The sequence below is a fragment of the Homo sapiens genome, chromosome 22, assembly GCF_000001405.40.
Source record: "Homo sapiens chromosome 22, GRCh38.p14 Primary Assembly".
Taxonomy (NCBI): Eukaryota; Metazoa; Chordata; class Mammalia; order Primates; family Hominidae; genus Homo; species Homo sapiens.
In genome coordinates this window covers 42,097,482-42,112,266 of record NC_000022.11, presented here as the reverse complement: position 1 = coordinate 42,112,266, position 14,785 = coordinate 42,097,482, and the positions used below count along the sequence as shown (strand labels likewise).

Below are 14,785 nucleotides of genomic sequence, written 5' to 3'. Positions count from 1 at the left end.
AAAGTACAGAAGTTAAATACCAAGATCGGCTGACTCATATCCAATTTTTGTTGATCCCTGAGGCAGAAACTAATCTATTAGGAAGAGACTTAATGCTAGAATTAGGCACAGGCTTACAAGTTGGTCCTAAAGGATTCTTTACCTCATTAAACCTACTCACCACCACAGATGAAAAATGCATTAATCCTAGTGTCTGGTCAAGGGAAGGAAACCGGGAGAAACTCTGAATCCCTCCAATCCACATCAAGTTAAGAATCCCCAGGGAAGTAGTAAGGAGGAAACAATACCCCAAACCCCTAGAGGGCAGGATAGGATTAAAGCCTATAATTGAAAGTCTTATTAAAGATGGGCTCCTTGAACCCTGTATGTCCCCGTATAACACTCCAATATTGCCAGTCAAGAAATTAGATGCGTCATACCGACTTGGTACAAGATCTTAGAGCCATCAAATAGTCCAAACTAACCATCCTGTTGTCCCCAACCCATACACCATTCTCAGCAAAATTCCAAAAAACCATCAGTTGTTTACAGTAATAGATTTAAAAGATGCCTTCTGGGCATGCCCCTTGGCTGAAGACAGCTGAGACATATTTGCTTTTGAGTGGTAGGATCCCCATTCAGGGCGAAAACAACATTATTGATGGACAGTTTTACCTCAAGGGTTTACAGACTCTCCAAACCTTTTTGGTCAAATTTTAGAACAAGTGTTAGAAAAAGTTGTCATCCCAAAGCAAATATGCCTGCTCCAGTACATGGATGATATTCTCGTATCTGTTGAAGATGTAGAGAAAGTAGCTGGCTTCTCTACACATATCCTTAACCATCTGGAGTTCGAGGGGTTATGGTTCTTAAAGGGAAAGCTTCAGTATGTGGAGCCTGAAGTTAAATATTTAGGCCACTTAATAAGTGCAGGTAAGCAAAGGATAGGACCTGAACGAGTTGAAGGCATCGTGTCCTTACCCTTGCCTCAAACTAAGCAATAACTCAGAAAATTTCTAGGATTAGTTGGATATTGATGCTTATGGATTGACTCATATGCCCTAAAAAGTAAACTTTTATATGAAAAGCTTACCCAGTGGAAACTGGACCGTCTCCTGTGGACTTCTGAGGAAGTCAATCAGGTTGAAGAGCTGAAATACAAACTCATAACTGCCCCTGTCTTAGCCTTAGCTTCCCTAGAAAAGCCATTTCATCTTTTTGTTAATGTAAATAACGGGGTAGCTTTAGGGGTTCTTACTCAAGAACATGGTGGTCACCGGCAGCCCGTAGCCTTCCTATCAAAAATTTTAGACCCAGTCACCTGTGGGTAGCCTCAGTGCATCCAATTCGTTGCAGCTACAGCAGTATTAGTTGAAGAAAGTAGAAAATTAATCTTTGGGGGGAAATTGACTGTAAGCACACCCCACCAAGTTAGAGCTATTTTAAATAAAAAAGCAGGAAGGTGGCTCACTGACTCCAGAATCTTAAAATAGGAGGCTATTTTACTAAAAAGATGATTTAACCTTGACTACTGATAACTCACTCAATCCGAGAGGTTTCTTAACAGGGGACCCAAATCTAAAAAGAGAACACTTATGTCTAGATCTAACTGACTACCAAACAAAGGTCAGGCCGGATCTAAGAGAGACCCCTTTCAAAATGGGGTGACACTTATTTATAGATGGTTGATCCCAAGCAATTAAAGGAGAAAAATACAATGGGTATTCAGTAATTGATGGAGAAACTCTTGAAGAAACAGAGTCAGGAAGGTTGCCCAATAGTTGGTCTGCCAAAGCATGTGAACTATTTGCACTCAGCCAGGTTTTAAAACACTTACAGAGCAAGGAAGGAACTATTCATACTGATTCTAAATACATTTTTGGAGTAGCTCATATATTTGGAAAAATTTGGGCTGAGCAAGGTCTTATTAATACTAAAGGCCAGGCCAGGCGCGGTGGCTCATGCCTGTAATCCCAGCACTTTGGGAGGCTGAGGTGGGCGGATCACGAGGTCAGGAGATCAAGACCATCCTGGCTAACATGGTGAAACCCCGTCTCTACTAAAAATACAAAAAAATTAGCCAGGTGTGGTAGCGGGATCCTGTAGTCCCAGCTACTCAGGAGGCTGAGGCAGGAGAATGGCGTGAACCCGGGAGGTGGAACTTGCAATGAGCTGAGATCGTGCCACTGCACTCCAGCCTGGGTGACAGAGCAAGACTCCGTCTCAAAAAAACACCAAAAAACAAAAAAAAACTAAAGGCCAAAATATCTTACCCACGAGGAGCTAATCGTCCATGTTTTAAACAATCTCCAGTTGCCAGAAGAAATAGCCATTGTACATGTCCCCGGACACCAAAACGACTTTTCCTTTACAAGTCAGGGAAATAACCTTGCAGATCAAGTGGCTAAACAGGCTGCCATTTCATCTGAAACACCTTTCACTTAACCCCTCGTCTTCCTCCCCCTGCTGCAACCCCTACCTTGTCTGCTGCAGAAAAGGAAAAATTAATAAAAATGGAGCCAAAGAAAACTCAGAAGGAAAATGGGTGTTACCAGATCAAAGAGAAATGCTATTCAAACCGCTCATGAGAGAAATCCTACCCACCTGCATCAAGGGACACACTGGGGACCCCAAGCCATGTGTGACACAGTTCTCAGGGTTTATGGGTATATACCCTAGCCAAACAGGTTATGGATAGTTGCTTAACATGTAAGGAAACCAACAAACAAGTTATAAAGAAATCATCCCTGGGCGGGGAGGGATTCAGGGCTAAGACCATTCCAAAGTGTTCAAACTGATTACATTGAAATGCCCCCAATCGGTTGCCTAAAGTACTTAGTAATAGCAGATCACCTCACTCACTGGGTCGAAGCTATTCCCTTTTCAAATGCAATGGCCAATCATGTAGTTAAAGCATTAATTGAAAATATAGTGCCCAGGTTTGGGCTAATAGAAAATATTGACTCAGACAGTGAAACCTATTTCATAGCACATATCATTAAAAAGCTATCCTAAGCGCTAGACATTAGATGGAAATATCATACTCCTTGGCACCCACCTTCATCAGGGAGAGTAGAAAGGATGAATCAGACCTTAAAGAACCATTTAACCAAGTTAGTTCTATAGATTCGGTTGCCAGGGATCAAATATCTTCCTATTGCCCTGTTAAGAATCCAAACGGCGGTTCCACCGCTGTCGCCGCCGTAGTGCGGCATGCCGCTCGGCGGAGGGGCCGGGCCTGCGTTCTCTCCTCCTTCCTCCCCGCCTCTGGCTGCCGGCAGGACCTTTCTCTCGCTGCTACTGGGACCCCGTGTCATAGCCCAGGCTGAGCACGATGCCCCCTCAAAAGGGAGGTGATGGAATTAAACCACCCCCAATCATTGGAAGATTTGGAACCTCACTGAAAATTGGTATTGTTGGATTGCCAAATGTTGGGAAATCTACTTTCTTCAATGTATTAACCAATAGTCAGGCTTCAGCAGAAAACTTCCCATTCTGCACTATTGATCCTAATGAGAGCAGAGTACCTGTGCCAGATGAAAGGTTTGACTTTCTTTGCCAATATCACAAACCAGCAAGCAAAATTCCTGCCTTTCTAAATGTAGTGGATATTGCTGGCCTTGTGAAAGGAGCTCACAATGGGCAGGGCCTGGGGAATGCTTTTTTATCTCATTTTAGTGCTTGTGATGGCATCTTTCATCTAACACGTGCTTTTGAAGATGATGATATCACACATGTTGAAGAAAGTGTAGATCCTATTCGAGATATAGAAATAATACATGAAGAGCTTCAGCTTAAAGATGAGGAATGACTGGGCCCATTATAGATAAACTAGAAAAGGTGGCTGTGAGAGGAGGAGATAAAAAACTAAAACCCAAATATGATATAATGTGCAAAGTAAAATCCTGGGTTATAGATCAAAAGAACCTGTTCGCTTCTATCATGATTGGAATGACAAAGAGATTGAAGTGTTGAATAAACACTTATTTTTGACTTCAAAACCAATGGTCTACTTGGTTAATCTTTCTGAAAAAGACTACATTAGAAAGAAAAACAAATGGCTGATAAAAATTAAAGAGTGGGTGGACAAGTATGACCCAGGTGCCTTGGTCATTCCTTTTAGTGGGGCCTTGGAACTCAAGTTGCAAGAATTGAGTGCTGAGGAGAGACAGCAGTATCTGGAAGCGAACATGACACAAAGTGCTTTGCCAAAGATCATTAAGGCTGGGTTTGCAGCACTCCAACTAAAATACTTTTTCACTGCAGGCCCAGATGAAGTGCGTGCACGGACCATCAGGAAAGGGACTAAGGCTCCTCAGGCTGCAGGAAAGATTCACACAGATTTTGAAAAGGGATTCATTATGGCTGAAGTAATGAAATATGAAGATTTTAAAGAGGAAGGTTCTGAAAATGCAGTCAAGGCTGCTGGAAAGTACAGACAACAAGGCAGAAATTATATTGTTGAAGATGGAGATATTATCTTCTTCAAATTTAACACACCTTAACAACTGAAGAAGAAATAAAATTTAGTTACTGCTCAGATAAACATACAACTTCCAAAAGGCATCTGATTTTTTAAAAATTAAAATTTCTGAAAACCAATGGGACAAATAAAGTTGGGGAGATGGGAATCTTTGACAAACAAATTATTTTTGTTTTAAAATTAAAATACTGTGTACCCTCTCCCCCCAATGAAATGCAAGTTCACTAAATGTGAACACCTTTGCTTTTCATGTGATTAAGACCCTACTCCAAATTATAGAAGCTTTTCAAGAACCATGTTACTCTCATGATACTTCATTAATCTCCATCATGTATGCCAAGCCTAACACATTTGACAGTGAGAACAATGTGGCTTGCTCCTTTTTGAATCTACAGATAATGCATGTTTTATAGTACTCCAGATGTCTACACTCAATAAAACATTTGACAAAACCAAATAAAAAAAAAAGAATCCAAACTGCTCCTCGAAAAGATACTGGCCTTTCCCCTTACAAGATGCTCTATGGATTGCCTTATTTACACTCCACTGCTGATGTTCCAAAAACACCAGTTCCTCAGGAATTATATTCTTAGTCTCTCCCCTACTTTCTCTTTTCTTAAAACCAAAGGTCTCCTAGCACAGGCTCTGCCTCTGGAGTTCCCAGTACATCAACATCAGCCTGGGGATCACGTCCTTATCAAGAGCTGAAAAGAGGAGAAACTTGAGCCAGCCTGGGAAGGACCTTACCTGGTGCTTCTAACCACTGAAACTGCAGTCCGGACAGCAGAAAAAGGATAGACCCATCACACCTGAGTCAAGAAAGCACTGTCACCTCCAGAGTCATGGGCCATTATCCCAGGGGAAAACCCCCTCAAACTAAAGCTAAGAAAAGTTTAACTCTCTTTCGTCTACTCTATTACTCTTTCTTCTTTCCTCATTCTGTTGCTGACCACCTTGTTATCAATGTGACTAAATCAAACTCACCCCAAGTTATTATGTTTGATGCCTGTTTAGTCATACCCTGTAGAGATCTCCAAAGTCAAAGGCAACTCTCAGCCTTAGAAAAGTATCTCTGCCACTTTAAAATAAAAGGCTCCCGCTACCAAGACTCTTGCTCCTCATAAAATATAGGGAAACAGGTCTGCCATAGCTGGAATGATGTTCTGTGGACAACTGAGTATCAAGGCTGGACCTCATCAACATGTGGCTGTATATACTTAAAATCATACATTCACTTTACTAAAGGAAGCACCCCTCCCCTCGATTTTCAGTATAACCAGTGTAATCCAGTGCAGATTTCTACTCTCACTCCGGCCTCTACCGACCCTCTAGACCTACTTTGAGTCGCTTCTATGGCATAGGGACCAACGCGGCACAGACCTCATAGGGTCTTTTGAAATGCGTTTTATTAATCCCTCATCCTCTTCACCCTCTTCCCTCTCTTCTCCTTCTAAGCCTTCTTCTAATCAGACTGCCATACCTTCTATACCCAATGATAAGACTAAAGTAGATATTGTAGAAGTAAATGATCTAAGGCAAACTTTAGCAATTGAAACAAAATATCAAGATGCAAATGCCTGGTTGGAATGGACCAAATATTCTGTCCGCACATGAAACAAAAGCAATTGTTATGCTTGTGCTCACGGCCAGCCAGAGACCCAGATAGACCCCTTTACACTCGGCTGGTCCCCCAGTCAACCAGGCATGGGCAGCATGGTAGCTCTCTTCCAGGATTCCATAGCTTGGGGCAATCAATCATGCCAAGCTCTCTCTTTGCTCTATCCCAAAGTTCAATATCCTGCGGGTCAGCCCCAGAGGGCCATCCAGCTTCTGGCTCCCAATGTCAATTTCACGTCCTGTCTCTCACGACAAGGGGAAAACTTGGTGTTCCTTGGAAGCTTAACAGGATGCAGTGAGCTTAAGCCTTTCCAAGAGCTTACCCATCAGTCTGCCCTTAGTCATCCTCAAGAAGATGTATGGTGGTATTGTGGCGGACCCTTACTGGACACTCTGCCAAGTAACTGGAGTGGTACCTGCACTCTTGTCCATTTGGCTATCCCTTTCACCCTGGCGTTTCATCAGCCAGAAAAAGAAAAGCCACAACACCATAAAATAAGAGAAGCCCCTTATAGGTTTTTTGACTCTCAAGTTTATTTAGATGCAACTGGAGTCCCATGGGGAGTACCTGATAAATTAAAAGCCCGGGACCAAATAGTCTGCAGGATTTGAATCAATATTTCCATGGGTAACTATTAATAAAAATGTAGACTGTATAAATTACATCTATTATAACCAACAGCAGTTTATTAATTATACCAGGGATGCTGTCAAAGGAATAGCTGAGGAGTTAGGGCTGACTAGCCAGATGGCTTAGGAAAACAGAATGGCCCTAGGCATGATACTAGCTGAAAAAGGTAGAGTTTGTGTTATGATTAAAACTCAGTGTCGTACCTTCATCCCAAACCATACTGCCCCAGATGGGAGCATAACAAAAGCCTTACAAGGACTTACCATTTTATCTAATGAATTAGCTAAAAATTCTGGAGTCAATAACCCTTCTTCAGGATGGCTAGACAGGTGGTTTGGTAAATAGAAAGGAATCATAGCCTCAATTCTTACTTCTCTTGCAGTCATAATAGGTGTACTCATTCTTGTTGGGTGTTGTGTCACACCATGCAACCATGGGCTAGTACAAAGGCTTATAGAAACAGCACTTACTAAAATCTCCCTTAGCTCTCCTCCACCTTATTCAGATAAGCGTTTCCTTTCAGACGATCAAGTCAAACAGCAAAGCCAAGACATCTTAAAAAGGTTTGAAGAGGAAGAACTATAAAAATTAAAAGGGGGAAATTGTAGGATACAATAAAATTCTTCAAAGGTTTAGCCTGTTAACTTCCTTGTTCTTTGTTCTCAAACTCAACTTTCTTGTTCTCTATGCCTCCTTGCCCCTAGTTACTGTAACTGTAAACAACTTTCCTGTCAGTCCTAATCAATAACTCACATCTGTTCCCTTGGTTACCCACTCTTCACCCGTTCCTCCCTTTGAAACCGCACATCCCACCATTGTAACTCACATTTCCCTTCCCTTCCTTATTTGGGAAAGTATTCACAAATAGCCAATTGGGTCAGTTTAGATTGTGCGGTCCAACCACAGCCCATGGAGGAATGACAAAGAGGCAGGGACTGCATTAGGAATAAAAACCCCTGCTTTCCTTTGTTCAGTGTGCTCTTGCAATCGTGATTGACACAAGCAGCACCCTTCTGCAGAAGTAAATTGCCTTGCTGAGAAAATTTTTGCCTGAGTGCTGGTTTCGCTTTGTGGCACTGAACATTTATCTCCAACAAGTAGAAGAAAGAACTTCAGAGCTTGAAGACAAAGCATTTGAAGTAACTCAACCAGACAAAGACAAATAAAAAAGAATTTTTTTTTTTTGAGACAGTCTCGCTCTGTTGCCCAGGCTGGATGGAGTGCAGTGGCGTGATCTCGGCTCACTGCAAGCTCTGTCTCCTGGGTTCATAGCATTCTCCTACCTCAGCCTCCTGAGTAGCTGGGACTACAGGCGACCGCCACCACACCTGGCTTATTTTTTGTATTTTTAGTAGAGATGGGGTTTCACCGTGTTAGCCAGGATGGTCTCGATCTCCTGACCTTGTGATCTGCCTGCCTCGGCCTCCCAAAGTGCTGGGATTACAGGCGTGAGCCACTGCGCCCGGCGAATATGAATTTTTAAAAATGAACAAAGCTTCCAAGAAATTTGGGATTACGTTAAACAGCCAGACCTAAGAATAATTGGTGTTCCTCAGGAAGAAGAGAAATCTAAACATTTAGAAAGCTTATTGGAGGGAATAATCAAGGAAAAGTTCCTTGCTCTCACCAGAGATCTAAACATCTAAATACAAGAAGCTGAAAGAACACCTGAAAAATTCATTGCAAAAAGATAATTACCTAGGCACACAGTCATCAGGTTATCTAAAGTCAAGATGAAGGGAAACATCTTAAGAGCCATGAGGCAAAAGCATCAGGGAACCTACAATGGAAATCCTATCAGATTAACAGCAGATTTCTCAGCAGAAACCCTATAAGCCAGAAGGGATTGGGGTCCTATCTTTAGCCTCCTCAAACAAAATAATTGCCAGCCAAGAATTTTGTATCCAGCAAAACTATGCTTCATAAATGAGGAGAGATAAAGTCTTTTTCAGACAAACAAATGCTGAGAGAATTTGCCACTAGCAAGCCAGCACTACAAGAAATGTCAAAAGGAGTTCTAAATCTTGAAACAAAAATAGAACCTCCTTTAAGTATATGTTTTAAAAGGCTTATAAAACAATAACACAATTTAAAAAAGCACAACTATCACTATGAATAAAACACTATCTCATAATTCAATACCAACATTGAATGTAAATGGCCTGAATGCTCCACTTAAAAGACACAGAATGGATAAAATTCACCAACCAACCATCTGCTGTCTTCAAGAGACTCATCTAATGCATAGGGACTCACATAAACTTAAGGTAAAGGGGTAGAAAAAGATACTGCACGCAAATGGAAACCAAAAGCAAGTACGAGTAGCTATTCTTTTTTTTTTTTCTTTGAGATGGAGTCTCGCTCTGTTGCCCAGGCTGGAGTGCAGTGGCACGATCTCGGCTCACTGCAACCTCTGCCTCCTGGGTTCAAACAATTCTCCTGCCTCAGCCTCCCAAGTAGTTGGGACTACAGGCATGCGCCACCATGCCCAGCTAAATTTTTTGTATTTTTAGTAGAGACAGGGTTTCACCATGTTAGCCAGGATGGTCTCAATCTCCTGACCTCATGATCTGCCTGCCTTGGCCTCCCAAAGTGCTAGGATAATAGATGTGAGCTGGCCAAGAGTAGCTATGTTTTTTTGTTTTTGTTTTTTTTTCTGAGACTAAGTCTTGCTCTGTCACCAGGCTGGAATGCAGTGGCGCTAACTTGGCTCACTGCAACCTCTGCCTCCTGAGTTCAAGCAATTCTCCTGCCTCAGCCTCCCGAGTAGCTGGGACTACAGGGGCATGCCACCACACCAAGCTAATTTTTGTATTTTTAGTAGAGATGGGGTTTCACAATGGTGGCAAAGATGATCTCAATCTCCTGACCTCGTGATCCACCTGTCTCAGCCTCCCAAAGTGCTGGGATTACAGGCATGAGCCATCATGCCTTGCCGAGTAGCTATTCCTATATCACACAAACAGACTTTAAAGCAACAACGGTTAAAAAAAAGACAAAAAGGGGCCAGGCGTGGTAGCTCACACCTGTAAACCCAGCACTTCGGGAGGCCAAGGCGGGTGGATCATGAGGTCAGGAGATCGAGACCATCCTGGCTAACATGGTGAAACCCCGTCTCTACTAAAAAAATACAAAAAAATGAGCTGGGCATGGTGGTGGGTGCCTGTAGTCCCAGCTACTCTGGAGGCTGAGGCAGGAGAATGGTGTGAAGCCGGGAGGTGGAGCTTGCAGTGAACCGAGATTGCGCCACTGCACTCCAGCCTGGGCAACAGAGTGAGACTCTGTCTCAAAAAAAAAAAAAAAAAAAAAAAAAGACAAAAAGGGACATTACATAACGATAAAAGATCAGTCCAGCCGGGCGCAGTGGCTCACACCTGGAATCCCAGCACTTTGGGAGGCTGAGACGGGCGGATTACGAGGTCAGGAGATCAAGACCATCCTGGCTAACATGGTGAAACCCCGTCTCTACTAAAAATACAAAAAAATTAGCCGGGTGTGGTGGTGGGCACCTGTAGTCCCAGCTACTCGGGAGGCTGAGGCAGGAGAATGGCATCAATCCAGGAGGCGGAGCTTGCAGTGAGATGAGAGCTGAGATCACGCCACTGCACTCCAGGCTGGGCAGACAGAGCGAGACTCTGTCTCAAAAAAAAAAAAAAAATCAGTCCAACAGGAAAATATCACAATCCTAAATACATATGCACCTTAATGGGCCAGGCACAGTGGCTCACACCTGTAATCCCAGCACTTTGGGAGGCTGAGGCAGGCGGATCACTTGAGTTCAGGAGTTCGAGTCCAGCCTGACCAACACGATGAAACCCCATCTCTACTAAAAATACAAAATTTAGCTGGGCATGGTGGCAAGCACCTGTACTGCCAGCTACTCGGGAGGCTCAGGCAGGGAAATCACTTGAACCCAGGAGGCAGAGGTTGCAGTGAGCCAAGATCACGCCACTGCACTCTAGCCTGGGCAACAGACCAAGACTCCATCTCAAAAACAAACAAACAACAAAAAAAAAACAGGTAAAGATGATACAGATTAACATCCTCATAAACACAGATGCAAATATTAACAAAATCTTATCACATTGAAAATAATATGTAAATATATACAACATTATCTATAGCATTTACTCCCAGGAATGCAAGGTTGGTTCAACATTCAAAAACCAATAAATGAAATTAACCATATTAACAGACAGAAAAAGAAAAATTCCATGATTATATCAATAGATGCATAAAATATATTTCACAAAATCAACATCTGAACCTCAAAGAAAAGAAAATTCCCAGCAAACGAGGAATTCATGGAAACATTTTCAATCCGATGAGGGGTATCTACGAAAAACCTACAGCTAGCAACATACTCAATGGTAAAATACTAAATGCTTTGTTCCTAAGTTCAGAAATGTCTTTATTTATTTATTTATTTATTTATTTATTTATTTTGAGACAGACTTTCACTCTTGTCACCCAGGCTGTAGTGTAAGGGCACAATCTTGGCTCACTGCAACCTCCGCCTCCCAGGTTTAAGTGATTCTCCTACCTCAGCCACCTGAATAGCTAGGATTACAGGTGCCTGCCGCCACGCCCAGCTAATTTTTGTATTTCTAGTAGAAACGGGGTTTCACCATGTTGGCCAGGCTGGTCTCAAATTCCTGATCTCAGGTGATCCACCCACCTTGGCCTCCCAAAGTATTGGCATTACAGACATGAGCCACCACAGCTGGCCAGGAATGTCTTAATTTAAGGCAAAAAAAGTCTGCCCTCATTGCTTTTTTTTTTGAGGCAGAGTCTCGTTCTGTCACCTAGGCTGGAGTGCAATGGCATGATCTCAGCTCACTGCAACCTCTGCCTCTCAGGTTCAAGCGATTCTCCTGCCTCAGCCTCCCAAGTAGCTGGAATTATAGGTGTGCACCATCACGCCAAGCTAAATTTTGTATTTTTAGTAGAGATGGGGTTTCACCATGTTGGCCAGGCTGGTCTCGAACTCCTGACCTCAGGTGATCCGCCTGCCTCGGCCTCCCAAAGTGCTGGGATTACATGCATGAGCCACCGCACCCGGTCTACCCTCATCACTTCTGTATGATATTGTGCTAGAAGCTCTAGCCAGTGAACAAGTCAAAAAAGAGAAGTAAAAGGCAATCAGATTGGAAAGAAAGAAATAAAACTGTATTTTCAAATAACATGATTGTGTGTAAAATCCTGTGGGATCATCCAAAAAGCAACTACAGCTTAACAAGGCTGAAGGATGCAAGATCACTGTATTAAAATCAATTATATTGCTATATAATAGGAATAAACAATTGGGAATTAAAACTTCTTAAAAACCAGTTATAACAGCATCCAAAATATAAAATACATAGACAAAAAATATAACAAAAGCTACATGCAAAATCATACACTAATAACTACAAAACATTGCTGAGAGAAATTAAAGACGATGTAAATCAATGAAGAGCCATACCATGGTCATGAATCAGAAGACTCAACATTTTAAAGATGTCAGTTCCTCTCAAATTAATCTATAGATTCAGTGTAATCAATAAAAATTCCAGCAATTTTCTTGTTGAAATTGATTGCTTTTTCTAAAATTCATAGAGGAATGCAACTCAGGCCGGGCAAAGTGGCTCATGCCTGTAATCCCAGCACTTTGAGAGGCCAAGTCAGGTTGGTTGCTTGAGTCCAGGAGTTCGAGACAAGCCTGGGCAACGTGGTTAAACCCTGTCTCTACAAAAAGTACAAAAATTAGCTGGGTGTGGTGGTGCATGCCTGTAATTCCAGCTACCCGGGAGCCTGAGGCAGGAGAATCTTTTGAACCTGGGAGGCAGAGGTTGCAGTGCACCGAGATCGTGCCACTGCACTTCAGCCTGGGCGACAGAGTGAGACTCCATCTCAAAAAAAAAAAATACAGTTATGAACATGTTGAAAAAATAAAAAAGAGTCTCAGCATAGAAATAGGAGATATAAGGAAGAATCAGATAGAAATTTTAGAAATAGAAAATACAACAACGAAATAAAAAGCTCAGTGAATGGGCTCAAAAGTGGAAAAGAGGACAACACAAGCAGTTAACTGGAAGACAGGACAACAGAAATTACTCAATCTGAACAACAGAGAGAAAATGGACTGGAAAAAGTAAACAAGAAAGAAAAGAGAAAATAAAAGAGGCCGGTACAGTGGCTCATGCCTGTAACCCCAGCACTTTGGGAGGCTGAGGTGGGTGGATCATGAGGTCAGGAGATCGAGACCATCCCTGGCTAACACGGTGAAACCCCGTCTCTGCTAAAAATACAAAAACGAAATTAGCCGAGCATGGTGGTGGGCACCTGTAGTCCCAGCTACTCGGGAGGCTGAGGCGGGAGAATGGTGTGAACCCGGGAGGCAGAGCCAAGATCGCGCCACTGTACTCCAGCCTGGGCGACAGAGCGAGACTCCATCTCAACCAAAAAAAAAAAAAAAAAAAAAAAAAAAAAGAAGAAAAGAAAAGAAACAAATAATAAACACAACCTCAGGGCCTGTGAGACTGTTAATAAAAGATCAGAGTGGGGCATGATAGCTCATCCCTGTAATCCCAGCATTTTGGTAGACAGAGGCAGAAGGATTGCTTGAGCCCAGGAGTTTGGGGCCAGCCTGGACAACATAGGAGGGGGCCGGGCGTGGTGGCTCTCGCCTGTAATCCCAGCACTTTGGGAGGCCAAGGCAGGCGGATCATGAGGTCAAGAGATTGAGACCATCCTGGCCAACTTGGTAAAACCCCGTCTCTACCAAAAATTCAAAAATTAGCCAGGCATGGTGGCAGGCACCTGTAATCCCAGCTACTCAGGAGGTTGAGGCACGAGAATCACTGGAATCTGGGAGGCAGACATTGCAGTGAGCCAAGATCATGCCACTGCACTCCAGCCTGGTGAAAGAGCGAGACTCCGCCTCAAAAACAAAAAAATTGAGTGTGGTGGTGCACACCTGTGGTCCCAGCTACTCTGGGGACTGAAGTGGGAGGAACGCTTCGGCCTGGAAGGTCTAGGTTGCAGTGAGCCATGATTCTGCCACTGTACTCCAGCCTGGATAACAGAGCAAGACCCTGTCTCAAAAAAATACATTAATAAATAAATAATCAAATGAACAAATATTCAAAGAAAACTTTCCTACTTGGCAAAATGCATAAAACAATAGATTCAAGAAGCTGAGAGAATTCCAATTGGGATAAACCCAAAGAAGTTCACACCAAGATACATTATAGTCAAACTTCTGAAAACAAAACAAAAAAATTTTTTGAAAGCAGCCAGAGAAAAACAATATGTTACTTATATAGAAAAAATAATTTGAATGACAGCTTATTTCTCATCAGAGACAACAGAAACCAGAAAGAAGTGACACAACACTTTTCCATTGTTAAAAAAACTATCAACTCAGAATCCCATATCCAATGAAAATATCCTTCAAGAATGCTGGGGGAAATTGTAAAATTCTCAAAGGAAGGAAAACTAAAAGAATTTGTCACCAACTAATATGTGCCCAGTTGGTTTTTTACAAAGGTGCTGATGCAATTCAATGGAGGAAAAATGGCTTTTCAACAAATGGTTCTGGAGTAATCAGATATTCATAGGCAAGAAAATGAACCTTGAAATAAATCTTACATTATATACAAAAATTACAACAAGGTGCAGTGGCTCATGCCTATAATTCCAGCATGGCAGGTAGATCACTTGAAGTCAGGAGTTCAAGACCAGCCTGGCCAACGTGGTGAAACCCTGTCTCTACTAAAAATACAAAAATTAGCTGGGCGTGATGGTGCGCATCTATAATTCCAGCTACTTTGGAGGATGAGACACCAGAATCGCTTGAACCTGGGAGGCAGAGGTTGCAGTAAGCCAAGATCATGCCACTGCACTCCAGCCTGGGTGAGGGAATAAGACTGTCTCAAAGAAAAACAAAAACCAAAAAACAAAAACCAAACCAAACCATGGACTTAAATGTACATCATCAAACATTTAGGAGAAAATCTTCTGGACCTAGAGCTACACAAGGCATTTTTAGTCTTGACACTAAAAGCACAATCCATAACAGGAAAAATAATAAA

At 42.4% G+C, this 14,785-nt stretch overlaps 1 long non-coding RNA gene and 1 pseudogene across 1 annotated transcript in view; one reads left to right on the top strand and one right to left on the bottom strand.

The window, feature by feature from the left end:
- Positions 1 to 14,785, bottom strand: part of NDUFA6-DT (NDUFA6 divergent transcript) — a 34,417-nt gene that overhangs the window by 13,083 nt on the left and 6,549 nt on the right. The gene's annotated exons all lie outside the window — the stretch shown is intronic.
- OLA1P1 (OLA1 pseudogene 1) lies at positions 3,233 to 4,917 on the top strand (annotated as a pseudogene).